The 14,371-nt window shown below is 57.6% G+C and overlaps 1 protein-coding gene across 1 annotated transcript in view, besides 3 other annotated features; it reads left to right on the plus strand.

Moving 5' to 3' along the window:
- GRK5 (G protein-coupled receptor kinase 5) overlaps positions 1-14,371 on the plus strand; it is a 252,175-nt gene that overhangs the window by 232,470 nt on the left and 5,334 nt on the right. Inside the window, exons 11-15 of the mRNA NM_005308.3 lie at positions 1,959-2,048; positions 3,504-3,712; positions 8,083-8,220; positions 12,631-12,768; positions 13,105-13,236. Of these exons, the coding sequence (NP_005299.1) occupies positions 1,959-2,048; positions 3,504-3,712; positions 8,083-8,220; positions 12,631-12,768; positions 13,105-13,236 (707 nt within the window). The remainder of the gene's footprint in view (positions 1-1,958; positions 2,049-3,503; positions 3,713-8,082; positions 8,221-12,630; positions 12,769-13,104; positions 13,237-14,371) is intronic.
- Positions 4,039-4,829: an enhancer, noted in NCBI's record as "H3K4me1 hESC enhancer chr10:121203591-121204381 (GRCh37/hg19 assembly coordinates)". NCBI's record gives its function as "activates a minimal SCP1, AML or CMV promoter by ChIP-STARR-seq in naive and primed H9 embryonic stem cells {active_cell/tissue: H9 hESC(naive and primed)}" and the evidence as "EXISTENCE:reporter gene assay evidence [ECO:0000049][PMID:30033119]".
- Positions 10,517-11,016: an enhancer, noted in NCBI's record as "H3K4me1 hESC enhancer chr10:121210069-121210568 (GRCh37/hg19 assembly coordinates)". NCBI's record gives its function as "activates a minimal SCP1, AML or CMV promoter by ChIP-STARR-seq in naive H9 embryonic stem cells {active_cell/tissue: H9 hESC(naive)}" and the evidence as "EXISTENCE:reporter gene assay evidence [ECO:0000049][PMID:30033119]".
- Positions 12,332-12,508: a silencer, noted in NCBI's record as "fragment chr10:121211884-121212060 (GRCh37/hg19 assembly coordinates)". NCBI's record gives its function as "represses an EF-1alpha promoter that drives an FKBP-Casp9 reporter gene in an ReSE screen in K562 erythroleukemia cells {active_cell/tissue: K562}" and the evidence as "EXISTENCE:reporter gene assay evidence [ECO:0000049][PMID:32094911]".

Genomic DNA, 14,371 nt, shown 5'->3' on the forward strand with positions numbered 1-14,371 from the left:
CGTGGTCTCTACAGTGCACTGAACAAGGAGTCCAGAATTTCAGAGATGCTGGGCAAATACTTAACTTCCATCAAGTTCTCCACCTCTCATCTTGTTTGTAAAATGGAAACAAAGCGTCCTGCCCTGCCCTGCCCACCCAGAAGGAAGAGGGTGGTGGAGAGGCTTCTACATGACAGCTTGAGAGGGAATTGCTTGTCAGTCTAGCCAGCTGTAAATGTCTCAGGCATTACGTTTGTGCATTACCATCATTATTTTCTCTTGGCTGTGGACACTGAATAATAAGAACAACCACAGTACCCCTCACAGCTGTTTAGCCTCACACCTGGAAAATAGTTCCTATACCTTCTTTTTTTTTTTTTGAGACAGAGTCTCACTTGCTCAGGCTAGAGTGCAATGGCGTGATCTCGGCCTACTGCAACCTCTGCCTCCCAGGTTCAAGTGATTCTCCTGCCTCAGCCTCCCAAGTAGCTGGGATTACAGGTGCACGCCACCACACCTGGCTAGTTTTTGTATTTTTTTTTTTTTTTGAGATGTAGTTTTACTCTTGTTGCCCAGGCTGGAGTGCAGTGGTGCAATCTCAACTCAGTGCAACCTCTACCTCCCAAGTTCAAGTGATTCTGCTGCCTCAGCCTCCCAAGTAGCTGAGATTACAGGCACGTGCCACCACGCCCGGCTAATTTTTGTATCTTTGGTAGAAATGGGGTTTTGCCATGTTGACCAGGCTGGTCTCAGACTCCTGACCTCAAGTGATCTGCCCTCCTTGGCCTCCCTATGTGCTGGGATTACAGGCATGAGCCACCGGTTTCCACACCTTTGATCTGACTAGATCTTCCCACCTGCACAGAGAAGGGCAAGGCAGCATCTCTGTGCCCATTTAACAGATGACAAAACTGAGCCTCAGGGGAGCCATCCTGCCAAAGTCACCCAGCAGCATCAGTGGGGAGCTGAGGGCAGAAACTGGGTCTCCTCCCACCAGGCCCCAGAACCTGGCAGCCCCCAGTAGAGGGAGGGGAGAAACCGGGTCGCTGATGACCTGAAGAGAGGTCTGCATGGGATACTGCCCTGTGGAGGGGCGGTCGGAGGGCCCAGGCCTGCCGCCCCTCTCTGGATGTGCCCGGTGCCTCCCTTGGTCTAAGAACCAAGCCCACGCTGCTCCTCTGCTATCCTGACTGTCAGCCCCCACCGAGCCAGGGAGTCCACACGGCTCCAGCCTGGCGGGGTCTCGACACTGGCCCTTGCTGACATCTAGGCTGGAGGGATGGGGGTGGGGCCCTGGTGTCCATAGGCAGGGAAGGGAAGGGGACGTGTTCCTTCCTGTGGGGTAAGTTGTGGCCGCGACCCTGCCCAGGTGGGCTGTGGGAGGGACAAAGACCAAAGTGGAGCCTCAGCTCAGCGTCTCCCGCTCTGGGGGCTCAGTCCTGGGCTGTGAGCTGGGATTCATCTCCAGGCTCTGCCAGGTCAGACCAGATGTTTTCCCTTCTCGTTTCTCTAAAGTGAAAAACAACCAATCTCCAGAGACCAACAAGGCAGGCCGGGGAGCTGCTTCCCAAATCGTTTTATAATTTTTTCCCCTTAAGCAAATTGTTGCATAATGCCAGAAGAACCTCACATTTTTCCCATGAAGTAATCCCAGAACCAAGCCAAGATTCTCTGACCTCAGCGTTCCAGGAAGCCCATTCAGCCTTTGACTAGGCAGGTCGGTCAACGTCCAGCCGGGTCCAGGCATCCTATTGCATCTTTATGTTCCACTCCTGAAGAGTGGGCATTTTCCTGTGTCCTCCCACACCTGCACTCTCCCAAGGCTCTTGTGGTCACTCTGAGATGGCAGATTGGGGTCCCTGTTGTCCTTGGACAGATGAGAATGCCGAGAGCTCGTATGCCTTGCCCAAGGGCACACAGCAAGGCCGGGTGCCCATGCGGCTGTCCCAGGGACCCACTGACCCTGCTGTCCCCCTCAGGCCACATTAGGATCTCAGACCTGGGCTTGGCTGTGAAGATCCCCGAGGGAGACCTGATCCGCGGCCGGGTGGGCACTGTTGGCTACATGGGTGAGTGCTGGGCTGCCTGTGTCAATGCACCTTGAGACCCACCACCTGCTCACCGCCGGCCGAGCCCCCAGAGCCTGCCCGCAGAGCCTCTCGCCTCTTCATGCACTGCTGATCACACACAGAGTCACAGTCTCTGCAGGGCTGCTGGGGGGCGGCCTTAGCCAGGGGGAGGGGGAGCACAGGGGCCCCAGATGTGATGACTGCTCTGAGCTCTCTGCACTCCCAGGCCCCCAGCCCCACCTGTGTCCAAAGCCAAGCCACTCTTAGGGGTCGGGGCCTGGCATACAGCGCTGCTAGGGGAGGCCACATTGAAGCAGGGGTCTGGGAGGAGAGGCCTTTGAGAGGAAGGAGGTAATTCACAAGAGCCCGCAAATGAGAGGCGCGCACAGCTGCTGTGTCACCAAGCATGATTCCAGTAGAGAGCAGCCTTGGGCTCCTGCCACCTTTCCTCAGTCTGCTCTGAGACCAGCGTCCTGGGGGTTGCAGGGAAGAGACCCAGAGTTAAGTCCTGTGCCCTAGAATCCCCCGTCCAATTGGGGGCACGCCCTGGGCTTCCTCCTGTGCATTTCACACACCTACCCTCCTTCCCCTGAGAGGCGCGTGCCCGGGGAGCAGGCACGCTGCCGCCCTCTAGTCAGGCTGGTACTGACAGCAGCTGCACAGGAGGTGTGCCTTGTCTCTGGTGCTAGAGGGTCCTTTTCAGATTGCATGACATTTGGCAACCTGTGGAGTGTGTGTCTGTGTGTATGTGAGTGTGTGTGTGCCCACATGAATGCTGATCGATGATTGATAGGTAGGCGGGTGGGCGGGTGGATGGATGGTTGGATGGATGATGGATGATGGATGGGTGGATGATAGATCTGCCTACCTGTGTGTGCATTTGCCTGGGTCTCCTTTTGCAGAGTGTTCCATGCATCTGTCTGCCCCGGCTCTTGTGTGCAAACCAGCACATGTGTGGATGCATTTCCCTCCAGACATACGTGCTGATGCTGCAGAACTATCTTTTCTGTATTTCTATGGTAAATCTGTAATTCGGTTTATCAAAGTGGTACAGAAGACATAGCAAGAGATTGTTTGAATTACAGATAAATTTAAGATCATCTTTAATTTGGGTAGATACACCTTTATTCATTGAAACAAATATACTGATAGCACCTGTTCTGTGCCAGGTGTCATATTGTTACGGTAGTGAATAAAGTAGCTCATGTTCTAGGCGAGGGGACATCAAGAGTGCAGGACACCTCCATCCACGGTGGTCAGAGTTCTAAAGCTACAGTCAAAGTCCTTCGGGGGCACAGAGGAGAGTCATCAGGGCAAGCTCCCTGGAGGGGGTGGTATTCACAGCAGTTGGTGGGGTAAGAGTTGGTGGCGGCCATGAAACTCCAGGCCTTCTGTGAGCAGCGCCACCAGCTGTCTCCCTCCTCCTCACTCCTCTCTCCTCTCCTCTGCCCCCAGCTCCAGAGGTCCTGAACAACCAGAGGTACGGCCTGAGCCCCGACTACTGGGGCCTTGGCTGCCTCATCTATGAGATGATCGAGGGCCAGTCGCCGTTCCGCGGCCGCAAGGAGAAGGTGAAGCGGGAGGAGGTGGACCGCCGGGTCCTGGAGACGGAGGAGGTGTACTCCCACAAGTTCTCCGAGGAGGCCAAGTCCATCTGCAAGATGGTGAGCTCCTGGTGGCCAGATGCCACCCTCAAGCTGGTGGCTCCCCTCCCTGGGCCTGGCCCCAGTCTGTCCCCAGAACAGCAAACAGGCTGAAGGGACAGGGGTCTGAGCATGGGGGTGGGGGTTGCAGCCCACCAAGCTAGAGTTGAGGGCACTCCTTGCTGTGGACTGGGGTGGTCAGCGGAGACTTCCAGGAGAAAGCCTGGGTGGGGCAGGGACACCCAGGAACCAAGGGAAGAGGGGTGAGGGGAACAGTGTGGAACACCCTCACATCCAGCCTGTGGGGGGGTCCACACAGGGCGGAGAAGAGATGGTCTGAGCTGGTGCCCCAGACACAAAGCAACCTTGGGCCAAGCCCCGGCCCCTGCCCGTGGGCCTCCTGCTCCCTCCACCTCTGGATCCTAAGGTGTTGGTTTAAGACGAAGGGCTACAGGGGGTGGGGGCGACGATTTCAGTCTTTGAACATCTTATAACAAAGTTTTCCACCACTAGATGGACTGCTGGTCACGCCAGCCTGGCTCCTGCATGACAGGGTCTAGGGATAGTGAGGTCAGACCCACCCAAAAGCTGGGTGGGTGGGGCCAGATGGGGGGACTGGAAGCCAGATAAGGAGTGACAGGAGCCATTGGAAGTGGGGGATATGGGAGTGGAGTCCGCCCGTGCACCCCTGCCACTGGGCCGCCCCATGCCGGCCCTCAGGCCCTTCCCTGGGAACCAGGACTAGTGGCTGGCTTTGTGGGGAGATGGCCACTTCCTGCTGCTGCCTGGCTCTCAGCCCCCAAGTCCAGCCCATGCCCCCTTGGGGCCCTCCTCCTTATGGTCCCCAGCACAGCTGTGCTGGCACCCCCACTGCAAGCAGCTGCCCTCTAATGCCAGCCTCATAGGGACAGGAGGGGCCGGAGCACCCAGCTCCACAATTGCCAGCCCACAGACTTCCTCTCCTCTCCCTGGAGCCACAGATGTACCCCGTATCCCATGTACCCGGAGCCACAGATGGGCAAACCGAGCCTGGGAGGGGGGAGCCACACTTCCCACCCCTCTACATCTGCAGGCACTTTTGGGGCAGATTCAGCGTGTGCATTGACAACCCAGGCAACTCCCGGAGTTTAGGAAGCAGCAGTCCTGGGAGTTGATTAAAAGTCGCAATGCTTCTGCTCAGGAAGACCTGAGATCTGCGCCGCAAGCGGCCCCAGGAGGGTCTGGCTCGGCTCCTCACCCCAGAGGCCCCTCTCCTGCAGCCAGACACCTCTGCTTGGCCCCTTCCTGTCACCAACCTCATCCTCACATCACAGAGCTGTGGGAAGAAGTCCTGTGTGTACAGCAGACCCACACTCTAACCCCACAGCTGTTGGCCCGCCATGCAGCTGGGGCCTCAGAGAAAGCCACATGGTCATCGCAGCCAGGGCTAGGGTGGGGGGACCGGAGGAGCAGTGCAGCACTGGTCGGGTAAATGGAAATGTGGGTGTGAGCCATACTTGGCTGTCTCATTGGGAGATATCTGTCAGGTGCGACAAAACGAGACAAGGGAAAGAAGAAGGGGTCAGACAGCCGTGGGCAGAGCATCACCAAATGTCCCAGGTCAGGGCCAGGCAATCAGAGAAGCAGGTCTTGAGAGATCTCAGCAGGGATATGGGACGTACTAAGAGGATGACGAGGCGGAGAGGGCCCCAGTCCCACCCCCAGACCCCAGACACCCACCTTGGCCCCTGGCTTTGGAGCTGGGATCTCCTGCTGCAGCCTGGACCAGGGTGCTGCTGTCCCTCTGCTGCCCCCTGGTGGACACTGAGAGAAAGCCTGCTGCTCCCGGAGGACCTGTCCCGTGGGTACAAAACCACTGTCCTCTGGAAGCCTCTGGCCTTGCTGCGGCTTCCCTTACAAATGATCTTTGGTCTTGGGAGTCTAGTCTTAGGCCTCCTTCACGCCCTTGACTGCAGCATCTCCGGCATCTAGGCCTACCTTGTCCCCTCCAGCTGGTGGCAGCTCAGGACACTGCAGAGCCTGACTTGCCAGGAGACCTCGCAGGTCCTGGGTTCACAGGGCTATTTCTAGGCTCTGGTGGCTCCAGCCCTGCCTGCCTAAGAGGGTCCCTCCACAATCAGTGAGGAAGCCAGTCTCTGGCCCCCAGGTCTGTCCCCCATTCTACCTTAGCAGCCGCAGAACCCACTCCCCCTCCTCTGGAGCCCAGAAATTCACACATCTCACCACTTTGTCTCCTGAGCCCAGTCCATGGGCCCAGACCTCAGCCTCCATCTTCCCCAAACCCCTGCTCAGTCCCAGCACTGGGCCTTAGCCCCCCTCCAGCTCCCTCTTGCCTTTCAGCCGTCTTGGTCTCACTTGTCCTTCCAGCCCATCTGTACCCCTCCTCCAGGAAGCCCGCTCTGCCTGCCCCACCCATCCCAGCTCACACCTTCTCTTCCTCTCACTTCTCCTGGTGTCCACCTGATAGCATGATTGCAAACTCTTTACCTGACGATGTGGCTGCAAACTGTTGACTGGATGCCAGGGTTTCAAATGGCAGCATATAGGCGGGTGTTCAACCTGCACACGGTTTTTCAAAAGAAGTAAATGGTAGGTTCATTGCCAAGATTTAGAAATGAGGAGATTTCATGTAATAACCTGGATTTTCTGGCTTCTCTTGAAAAGCAGAAGCCCCAGGCCCTGGCTGCCGTCCCACCTGGCAGGAGCTGACACATAGCCCGGCCCGGCCCACCCAGCCCACCCCTCGCCTTTCTCATCCTCGTTTGTGCCACCTTCCTGGCCAGCTGCTGCAGCCCCTGCAGAAGGAGACTTGCCTCTGAGGGACTGCTTAGAACAGTGCAGCACCTGGGCCCAGCCCAACCCAGTGCCTTGAGCCTTTGTTGAACAGTGAAGCCCCCAGAGAGAGAAGCAGAGGCATGAGTGCCAGACCCTGAGCCGCCAGCCTGGTGGTCCGTGGGGGCGTTAAGGGGCAACACTGAGCGACTGAGTGCTCTGCTTTGTCCTTTCAAGGGTGGAACCTGGTGCTGGCCCTGATGCCACCTTCGATTCCTTTGTTTGGGGGGCAGCCCCCTCCAGACCCTGAGCCCCAAGAGGCCAGTCTGGCTGCTCACTCTCCCCGGCGTCCCCAGCCGGTGCAGTGCCTGCCCCACAAGGACCAGCAGGAAGTGTACATGGGATGAATATGAGCAAAGCGCACAGGGCATTGGGAAAAGACAAGGCTGGGCCCCTACCCCAAGCAGTCTGCTCCTCTGGATTTTAGCCTCAAAGCAGACACTTAGTAGACACCAACTGCGTACAGCTGCAGCGCTCAGTAAGGCAGAGGAGAAGAGAGAATCACGAGGCTGGGGCACTGGGAGTGCAGGTCAGGGGCCGGGGCCCTGTGGTCGTGTGGCTGGCCATGGCTAGTCAAGGCCCCCTGCGCAGGTCTAGCCCTCTGGCCTCATTCATAGCCTCATCCCGTCTCACCTGGGTGTCTGCTCCCAAAGACTCTTCCTCTCCTAGTAACCTTCCTGCCTCGTGGTTCTGATGAAGACACTCTCCTACCTCAACCATCCCTGGCTCCTTCTACCTCCAGATGAAAATCCCGCCACCTGACCTGGCCTTCAGGATCCTCTATCATCTCTCCCTGACCAGCCCCCTCCCCTTGACCCATCTCTGCACCCTCCTCCCGCTTTCTAAGTCAAACGTGTTTTGGGTGTTCCCCAGACTCACCCTGCACGTCCTGCCACTCTGCTTTGCTGGTGCAGTTCCCTCTACCTGTATACCCCTCCCCCTACCCACACCTTGAAAGCCTATTTGTCCTGCAAGACTCAACTTAAATACCTCTTCCCCGTGCAGCTCCCTGACCTCCAGCTGGCAGCCAGTCATGCCCCCTGCCCCCGGGGTGCCCGATCTGTATCACCTTGATGCGTCCTCTGAGCATGATTAGCCCCCCATGAGTCTGAGCACTCCTAGAGGCCAAGTGCCTCGGTGGTGCCTTCTCTGTCAGGAAGGGGCTTGCACCCAGGAGGTACAACTCTGCAAATTAGCTGAGTATGTGCACGAGACAGAGCTATTGATGCAGTCCTTGCCTTTTGTTGCTTACCCTACACAGAAGAGGTGACAGTGACTCGACACCCATTAATGAGTGCCCACCATAACCCAGGAACGAGGTCTGTAATCCTGAGAGAAACAAGATTCCTGCTCTCCTGTCCCATCAGGCATCTAGCCAGGCTGTGAGTGTGTGAGCACAGATGCACGCCAAGACTCAGAGGCAGCCCTGAAGCAAGACCTTTGCAGGGTGGGGCAGCGTGTCTTGGGTTCCTAGGCATGGTGCAGACACTGTGGAGGCAGGAGGTCCGGACAGGAGGAGAGGCCCAGGGGACGTGGCTTCATGGGGCTCTCTGTTTCAGCTGCTCACGAAAGATGCGAAGCAGAGGCTGGGCTGCCAGGAGGAGGGGGCTGCAGAGGTCAAGAGACACCCCTTCTTCAGGAACATGAACTTCAAGCGCTTAGAAGCCGGGATGTTGGACCCTCCCTTCGTTCCAGACGTGAGTAGCCTCCCCCAGCCCCCAGCAGCTCCCTTCACAGGGTACCCAGGGCTGCCCCCGAGTGCTGCCTCACAGTGAGCTGGTGCAGAGTGTGGGGCACATCGTGTCTTTGTGGGGACCAGGGTCCCCTCCCGGCCACTCCTCACCTAAGCTGCAGATGAACTTCACGCCAGGCAGTGCAGAAGAGGCGTGGGCCAGGGAGCCCACATTGGCTGTCCAGAGACTTGGGCACTTTCCCAGGTCTGGGGGTCCTGGACAGATTCCTTCTAAGCGTCAGTTTCCTCCCTGTCCAGTGAAACCAGTAACACTCATGCCTCCCACCTGCCTGGGAGATTTGAGGGTGAAATGAGAACTGAATGGGGAATGCTTTCAAGAGCATTGACGGCCACTACATTCAGTTCATCTTGACCAGCATGCATGCATCGAGCACTACTGTTGACGCCAGGTTCTGGGCCAGGCAGAAACATAAGAGGCCCCTCCCCCAGCAGCTCACATTGCAGGGAGTTGCATCTTCCCAGGAGGTCCCCAGGTCCCCCAGTCGGTGTGTGAGGCAAGATTCCAGCTGAGGTAGAATTGTCCTTGAAAGTCCCCTACATGGTCTATAAATCATGAGCTCTCAGCTGGATCAGAGGCCCAAGAGATGCAGACCAGGCAGAGGCTGGGTGATCTGTGCGGGATACGTGCTGTGATTCCGGGGCCTGCTCTGTTTAAAGTCAGGGAGTCAGAAGCCAGGAAGGCCTGCTGTGCTTCGGCTCCTGCCACGCTCCCGCGGATGACCCCTTGCTGGCAGGGGGACTGGGCCGGGGACTATGGAGGCCGTGGGAGCAGCAGTGTGCTGCAGGCGAATGACTGCATCTCCAGAGAGCTCATGTGCACCTCTCTTCCCAATTCCGTGTCCAATGGCTTTGCGTCGGTAGCTTACAGTAGATCTGGTGGTAGCATCTGCACAGCAGCAATTTGCAAATGCTACAAATCAGGGCCTCTGCGTCCCCCTCTCCCAGAACCAGTGGTTATCACTTACCAGTACCGCCCTGAGTGGAGGCAGGTGGGGACCGTCCTTGGAACTCTGGCACCCCCTATACATGGGGATTCCCTGGTCCTCTGGGACAGAAGGTGGCTTGGGAAGCTGCTAGGTGCGGATCAGTGTCCATGGCAACCACACCACAGACCCCGTCTGGCCAGGGATGGCATCAGTGTGATGGGTAATCAGGGAATGCTTTTTGGAGAAACACGGGGGCCACTGAGAATATAAAGAGTAGGCCGGGCACGGTGGCTCATGCCTATAATCCCAGCACTTGGGAAGGCTGAGGCAGTCGGGTTAGGAGTTCGAGACCAGCCTGACCAACGTGGTGAAACCCCATCTCTACTAAAATACAAAATTAACCAGGCTTGGGGGCACACACCTATAATCCCAGCTACCTGGGAGGCTGAGGCAGGAGAATCACTTGAACCCAGGAGGCAGAGGTTGCAGTGAGCTGAGATTGTACCACTGCACTCCAGCCTGGGCGACGGAGCGAGACTGCATCTCAAAAAATAAAAAGTGAAAGTCACTGAATGCTGCAAACTCAATCTGCAGATGAGCTTGAGCAGGCAGGGGGAGGATGGTAATCACAGCATTGCTCTCGACCCTGGCTGCCTGGCGAACCGCCTGGGGAGCATGAACAACACTCGCCTTGGATGCAGTCCCCAGGGAGTCTGGGGTAAGACTCGGGCTTCAGGAGTTTTGAAACCTCCCCAGCTGATTCTAGCGTAGAGCCAGGGTTGAGAGTCACTATTATGGGAAGTGCCACATGCAAGGAGTGTGTTGTTTGTTGTTTGTTTTTAGTGCCAAGGGCTTTGGGAGTGGCCACTCCTTGGTGTTCCAGGAAACCACATAGTGTTGAGTGCATGAACATCACGGTTGTGCCATTGGGCTGATGTCCGAAATTGGAGAGGATGTGGGCATCCAGACTGGGGGTGTGGCAAAGGTTTGGAACCCGGGTGGCCATCCTTGTGGCCTCTGGGCTACCTATTGCTATGGTGACGGGCTGAGATTAGTCATCGCATTGGAGCTATTCCTCTACCTTCCAGCACACTCCAGGTCCCGTGCCAGGCCCCAAGGGAGATCCCATGGCACACAAAACAGTTGGTTGTTTCCAGTCTGAAGAGGAGCAGGGGTGTCAGCAAAACCCCTTAAATAGAAGTAGAAATACGAGTCACAAGAGAAGAGAACAGGCAGCCTCCGGGAAGATGGGAGAGTAGCGGGGCCTCCGTGCGTGCACCCAGGCATGGCTGGAGAAAAGCGCTCCAGGCCCTGGAAGCAGCATGTGGAAGGAGGCGGCTCTGAGGGTCAGAGCGACCAACTGTCCTGCTTTGCCTGGGACTGTCCTGCTTTTAGCACTGAAAGTCCTGTGTCCTGGGGAGACAGGGACAGTTGGTCACCCTGGGAGTGACCCTGGCCACTTCGAATCAGGGCATTAGGAGGATGAGGTAGCAGAGCCCCGCAAAGCGCACAGCCTGACAAGGTGCACAGAGCAGCCCACCGGTGCCCTCCTGCCTCAGCCGTGTACCCTGTGGCCCAGGGCCTCTGTTCCTGGCATCCGAGGCCTCAGGTCAGCAAAGGTTGCAGGCCCTGGAGTGCGAAGCCGCTGTGAGCTGGGGACTTTGCCTTTTCCCCACTGGCCCTCCCCAGGCTGCACGCCAACCCCCAGTCATCCCTGCCAGCCCCCCACAGTCATCCCGCCCCCCACAGTCTTCCCTGCCAGCCCCCCACAGTCTTCCCTGCCAGCCCCCCCAGTCGTCCCTGCCAGCCCCCCACAGTCATCCCTGCCAGCCCCCCACCATCGTCCCTGCCAGCCCCCCACCGTCGTCCCTGCCAGCCCCCCACAGTCATCCATGCCAGCCCCCCACAGTCATCCCATCCCCACACCACTGTCGGGGCTGCTGCCACATTCCTAAACCACGAGCACTGTGAGTGACATCATCTTTTTCACTTCCATTGACTCTTTTTTTAAAATAAAAATCAATGTATTTTAAAAGGAAACCTTTCCAAGGAAATAATAGCCATGAAAGAGGGGTTTGGGTGTGCCAGGTAACTTTCTGTTCCATTACAGATTTTTAAAATACGCTCATTTCTTAACATTCCTCTGCAAGCCACCCAGGGCCAGCTTCGTGAGCTTGACCTGGCACCCCCTAGGGCACCCTGGGTCCCCACACCTGGCTCAGTGCCCTCTGTTGCCATCTTAAAATTCTAAATGTGGAACATGGACCCTGCGTTTTCATTCTGCGCTGAGCATGTGAATGATGTGGTCTTGCTTCCAGCTAAAAGTCCGCTGAGTTCCACGGTGGCGTGCACCCCGGGCTTTGGGAACTAGAGAAGGGTCGCAGCTCTGCAACTGGACACCCCTGCCCGCACCCCTGCTTCCGTCCACGTGCACTTGGGCCCATGGTTTGCTTTGCTGGGGACAGCATGGCCTTGAGCCTTGAGCTGGAGACCAGAGCAGACTGGAGGGGAGAGTCCCAGAAAGTGCCGAGCCCTGAGACCATTGCTAGAACCTTCCTGGCATGGCGGAGCCCATGCTGAGCCGGTGCACTGATTCACAACCTTCGTATTAGCCAAATGTCAGGAGACTATAAGCAGGAGGTAGCCTCTACCCTCCAGTGACAGATGTGTCACCAGGTCTGGGGATCCCTTCACACCCCACCTGGGGCTGTCTCTATAAAGGCCTCATCTCCAGAGGCTCTGGGAAGCCTCCCCACACCAACCTTGAACTCTTAGAGGGCAGGGTCCACCCAGGTTCATCTCTGCCCTGGCATAGAGCAGGCCCCCAGTGCACAGCTGAGGGACGAGTAAGGCAAAAGATATGCCTACCATAATAATACCAGCTCCCAGTTACGGGCGCCAGGCTCGGTGGCCAGCACTGACAGCAGCCCCATCGCCCAGGTGCCTCGTTGTCCCCATTTTGCCGGTAAGGAAACAGGACATAGGCCTCAGGGGATATGAGACTTCCCCAAAGTTCCTAAGCCCCACAGCTGGGACTCTAGCCCACGTCTGTCCAGTATGGGTAAGGGAGTGATGGCAGGAATGAGCCCTGGGCTGGGCACCCAGGTGCCCCGAGCTCCTGTGTCACCCCAGCCAGGGTCCCCGTCATGGATCTGAGAGAGGGCTGCACTGTCATCTGGAGGGGTCGCACAAAAAAACCACAGGCCATCATCTGAGGTGGACAGGAAGCCCAGCCAAGCCACTGGGGCCGACCCCTCCCCTGGACTCACCTGCATCTGAGCCACACACCCTCCAGCCACTACCCATAGCAGTTCTGGGGGTGTGTCCTGGGAAGACTCCCTTCTGCTCCCCAAAACCCCAAGGCCTGGCTCGGGGCCACTGGAGCCGCAGGCGGGACATATGTGTGACCGGCCCTCTGCCCCTGGCAGCCCCGCGCTGTGTACTGTAAGGACGTGCTGGACATCGAGCAGTTCTCCACTGTGAAGGGCGTCAATCTGGACCACACAGACGACGACTTCTACTCCAAGTTCTCCACGGGCTCTGTGTCCATCCCATGGCAAAACGAGGTGAGCAGGGCAGACCACTTGCTTTGGTCTGGGTGGGAGGGAGGGACTGACGGGTGGAAGGAGGCGTCGGGAATATGAGTTTGGCGGCAGGAGGCTGAGCGCATGGTTTCTGTTTTCTCCATGAAGGCAGCACACAAAAGCTGTCAGTGGCCAAGTAGGGAGCTGTAGCCACCACGGGCCAGTCATTGACGGGGAGCCTCGCCCAGCCCCTGAGACCTGGAGGGCGTGTGGCTCAGGGGCAGGTGAGGCCAGGGGAGGGAGCCCCAGTGGCTTTGCTGCTGGGCTTCCTGACTGCCCCAGTTGACGGCCTGTGTTTTGTTTTCACGGCCCCTCCAGATGATAGAAACAGAATGCTTTAAGGAGCTGAACGTGTTTGGACCTAATGGTACCCTCCCGCCAGATCTGAACAGAAACCACCCTCCGGAACCGCCCAAGAAAGGGCTGCTCCAGAGACTCTTCAAGCGGCAGGTGAGACACCCATGCCTGGCCAGTCCTGGCATCAGCTCCGAGACCCCTGGCTCACTTCCATGGGAAACGAGAAGACCCACAGTAGAGACCCTTGGAAGGCTTGGAAGTCTGGGGCAGTAGCAGCTTGGAAGGGCAACTGATTATGTCCAAGGCCCCTGATACCCACGGCAGCTGATGGGATCCCCGGGGAGAAGGGCAGGGCCAGCCCAAATTCACCCTCCCTCTGGGTTTCTCCGCCTTGACACTGTTGGCGCCTGGGGCCGGTTAATTCCTTGTCACAGTGCCGTCCTGTGCATCGCAAGATGTGGGGCAGCAAGTTTGGCCTCCACCCACCAGATGCAGCAACACGCCATCCCCCAGTCGTGAGAGCCCATAAAGGAGCCAGACATTGCTGAATGTCCTCAGGGGCACAGTCACCCCTGATTGAGAGCCACTGCCCTCTCTGGCCCTTACGAAGCCTCAGTCATATAAAGACTGAACATCATAAGCCCAGGGAGAACTGGGGGTAGAAGCTGACCCCACAGAACCTTCCGGCTCCTGGGATGGCCCCCATCCAATGCTGTGCCCTCTAGCTGGCAGCCAGAGGAGACAGGGCCCTTGGGAAATGACACTTAGAGCCTGGCCCTGGGTAAGGGTTGGTGTGGGCCAATGGAGGAAATGCGGGGGAAGGGCCCCCACCTCACCCCACACCATGAAGGTGGCCACCATACACCCCGTCTTGGCCTGGCCCCTGAGGAAGCTGTGGCCCAGTGTGCCCGCCCTGGAGCCTGGGAGGCTCCCTCACCTAGTTCTGCTCCTTCCTCCTCTCCACAAAGAGCCAGCTCCAGGATGGACACACTCAGCCAGTGATAATATAAAAATACAACGCTTCAATGCTTCCATCAAGTAAAACGGAAGTTCCAGAAAGAATGACCTCTCCCTCCCCTGATGGCCAGGCATGCTAAGAACACCCTGGGTCCTAGAAAAAGAAATTACCATGGAGTCTCACAGACCCGGGTTCAAACCCAGCCCTGAGACTTCTTGGTTATGTGGCAACTTACGGAACCTCTCCCACCTCAGTTTGCCTGCCTGAAACATCAGGATAGAAATGCCCATTGCCTAGAGCCACGGGTGGCGGCCCACATATGGGCACCAG

Source organism: Homo sapiens, chromosome 10 (assembly GCF_000001405.40).
Source record: "Homo sapiens chromosome 10, GRCh38.p14 Primary Assembly".
NCBI lineage: Eukaryota > Metazoa > Chordata > Mammalia > Primates > Hominidae > Homo > Homo sapiens.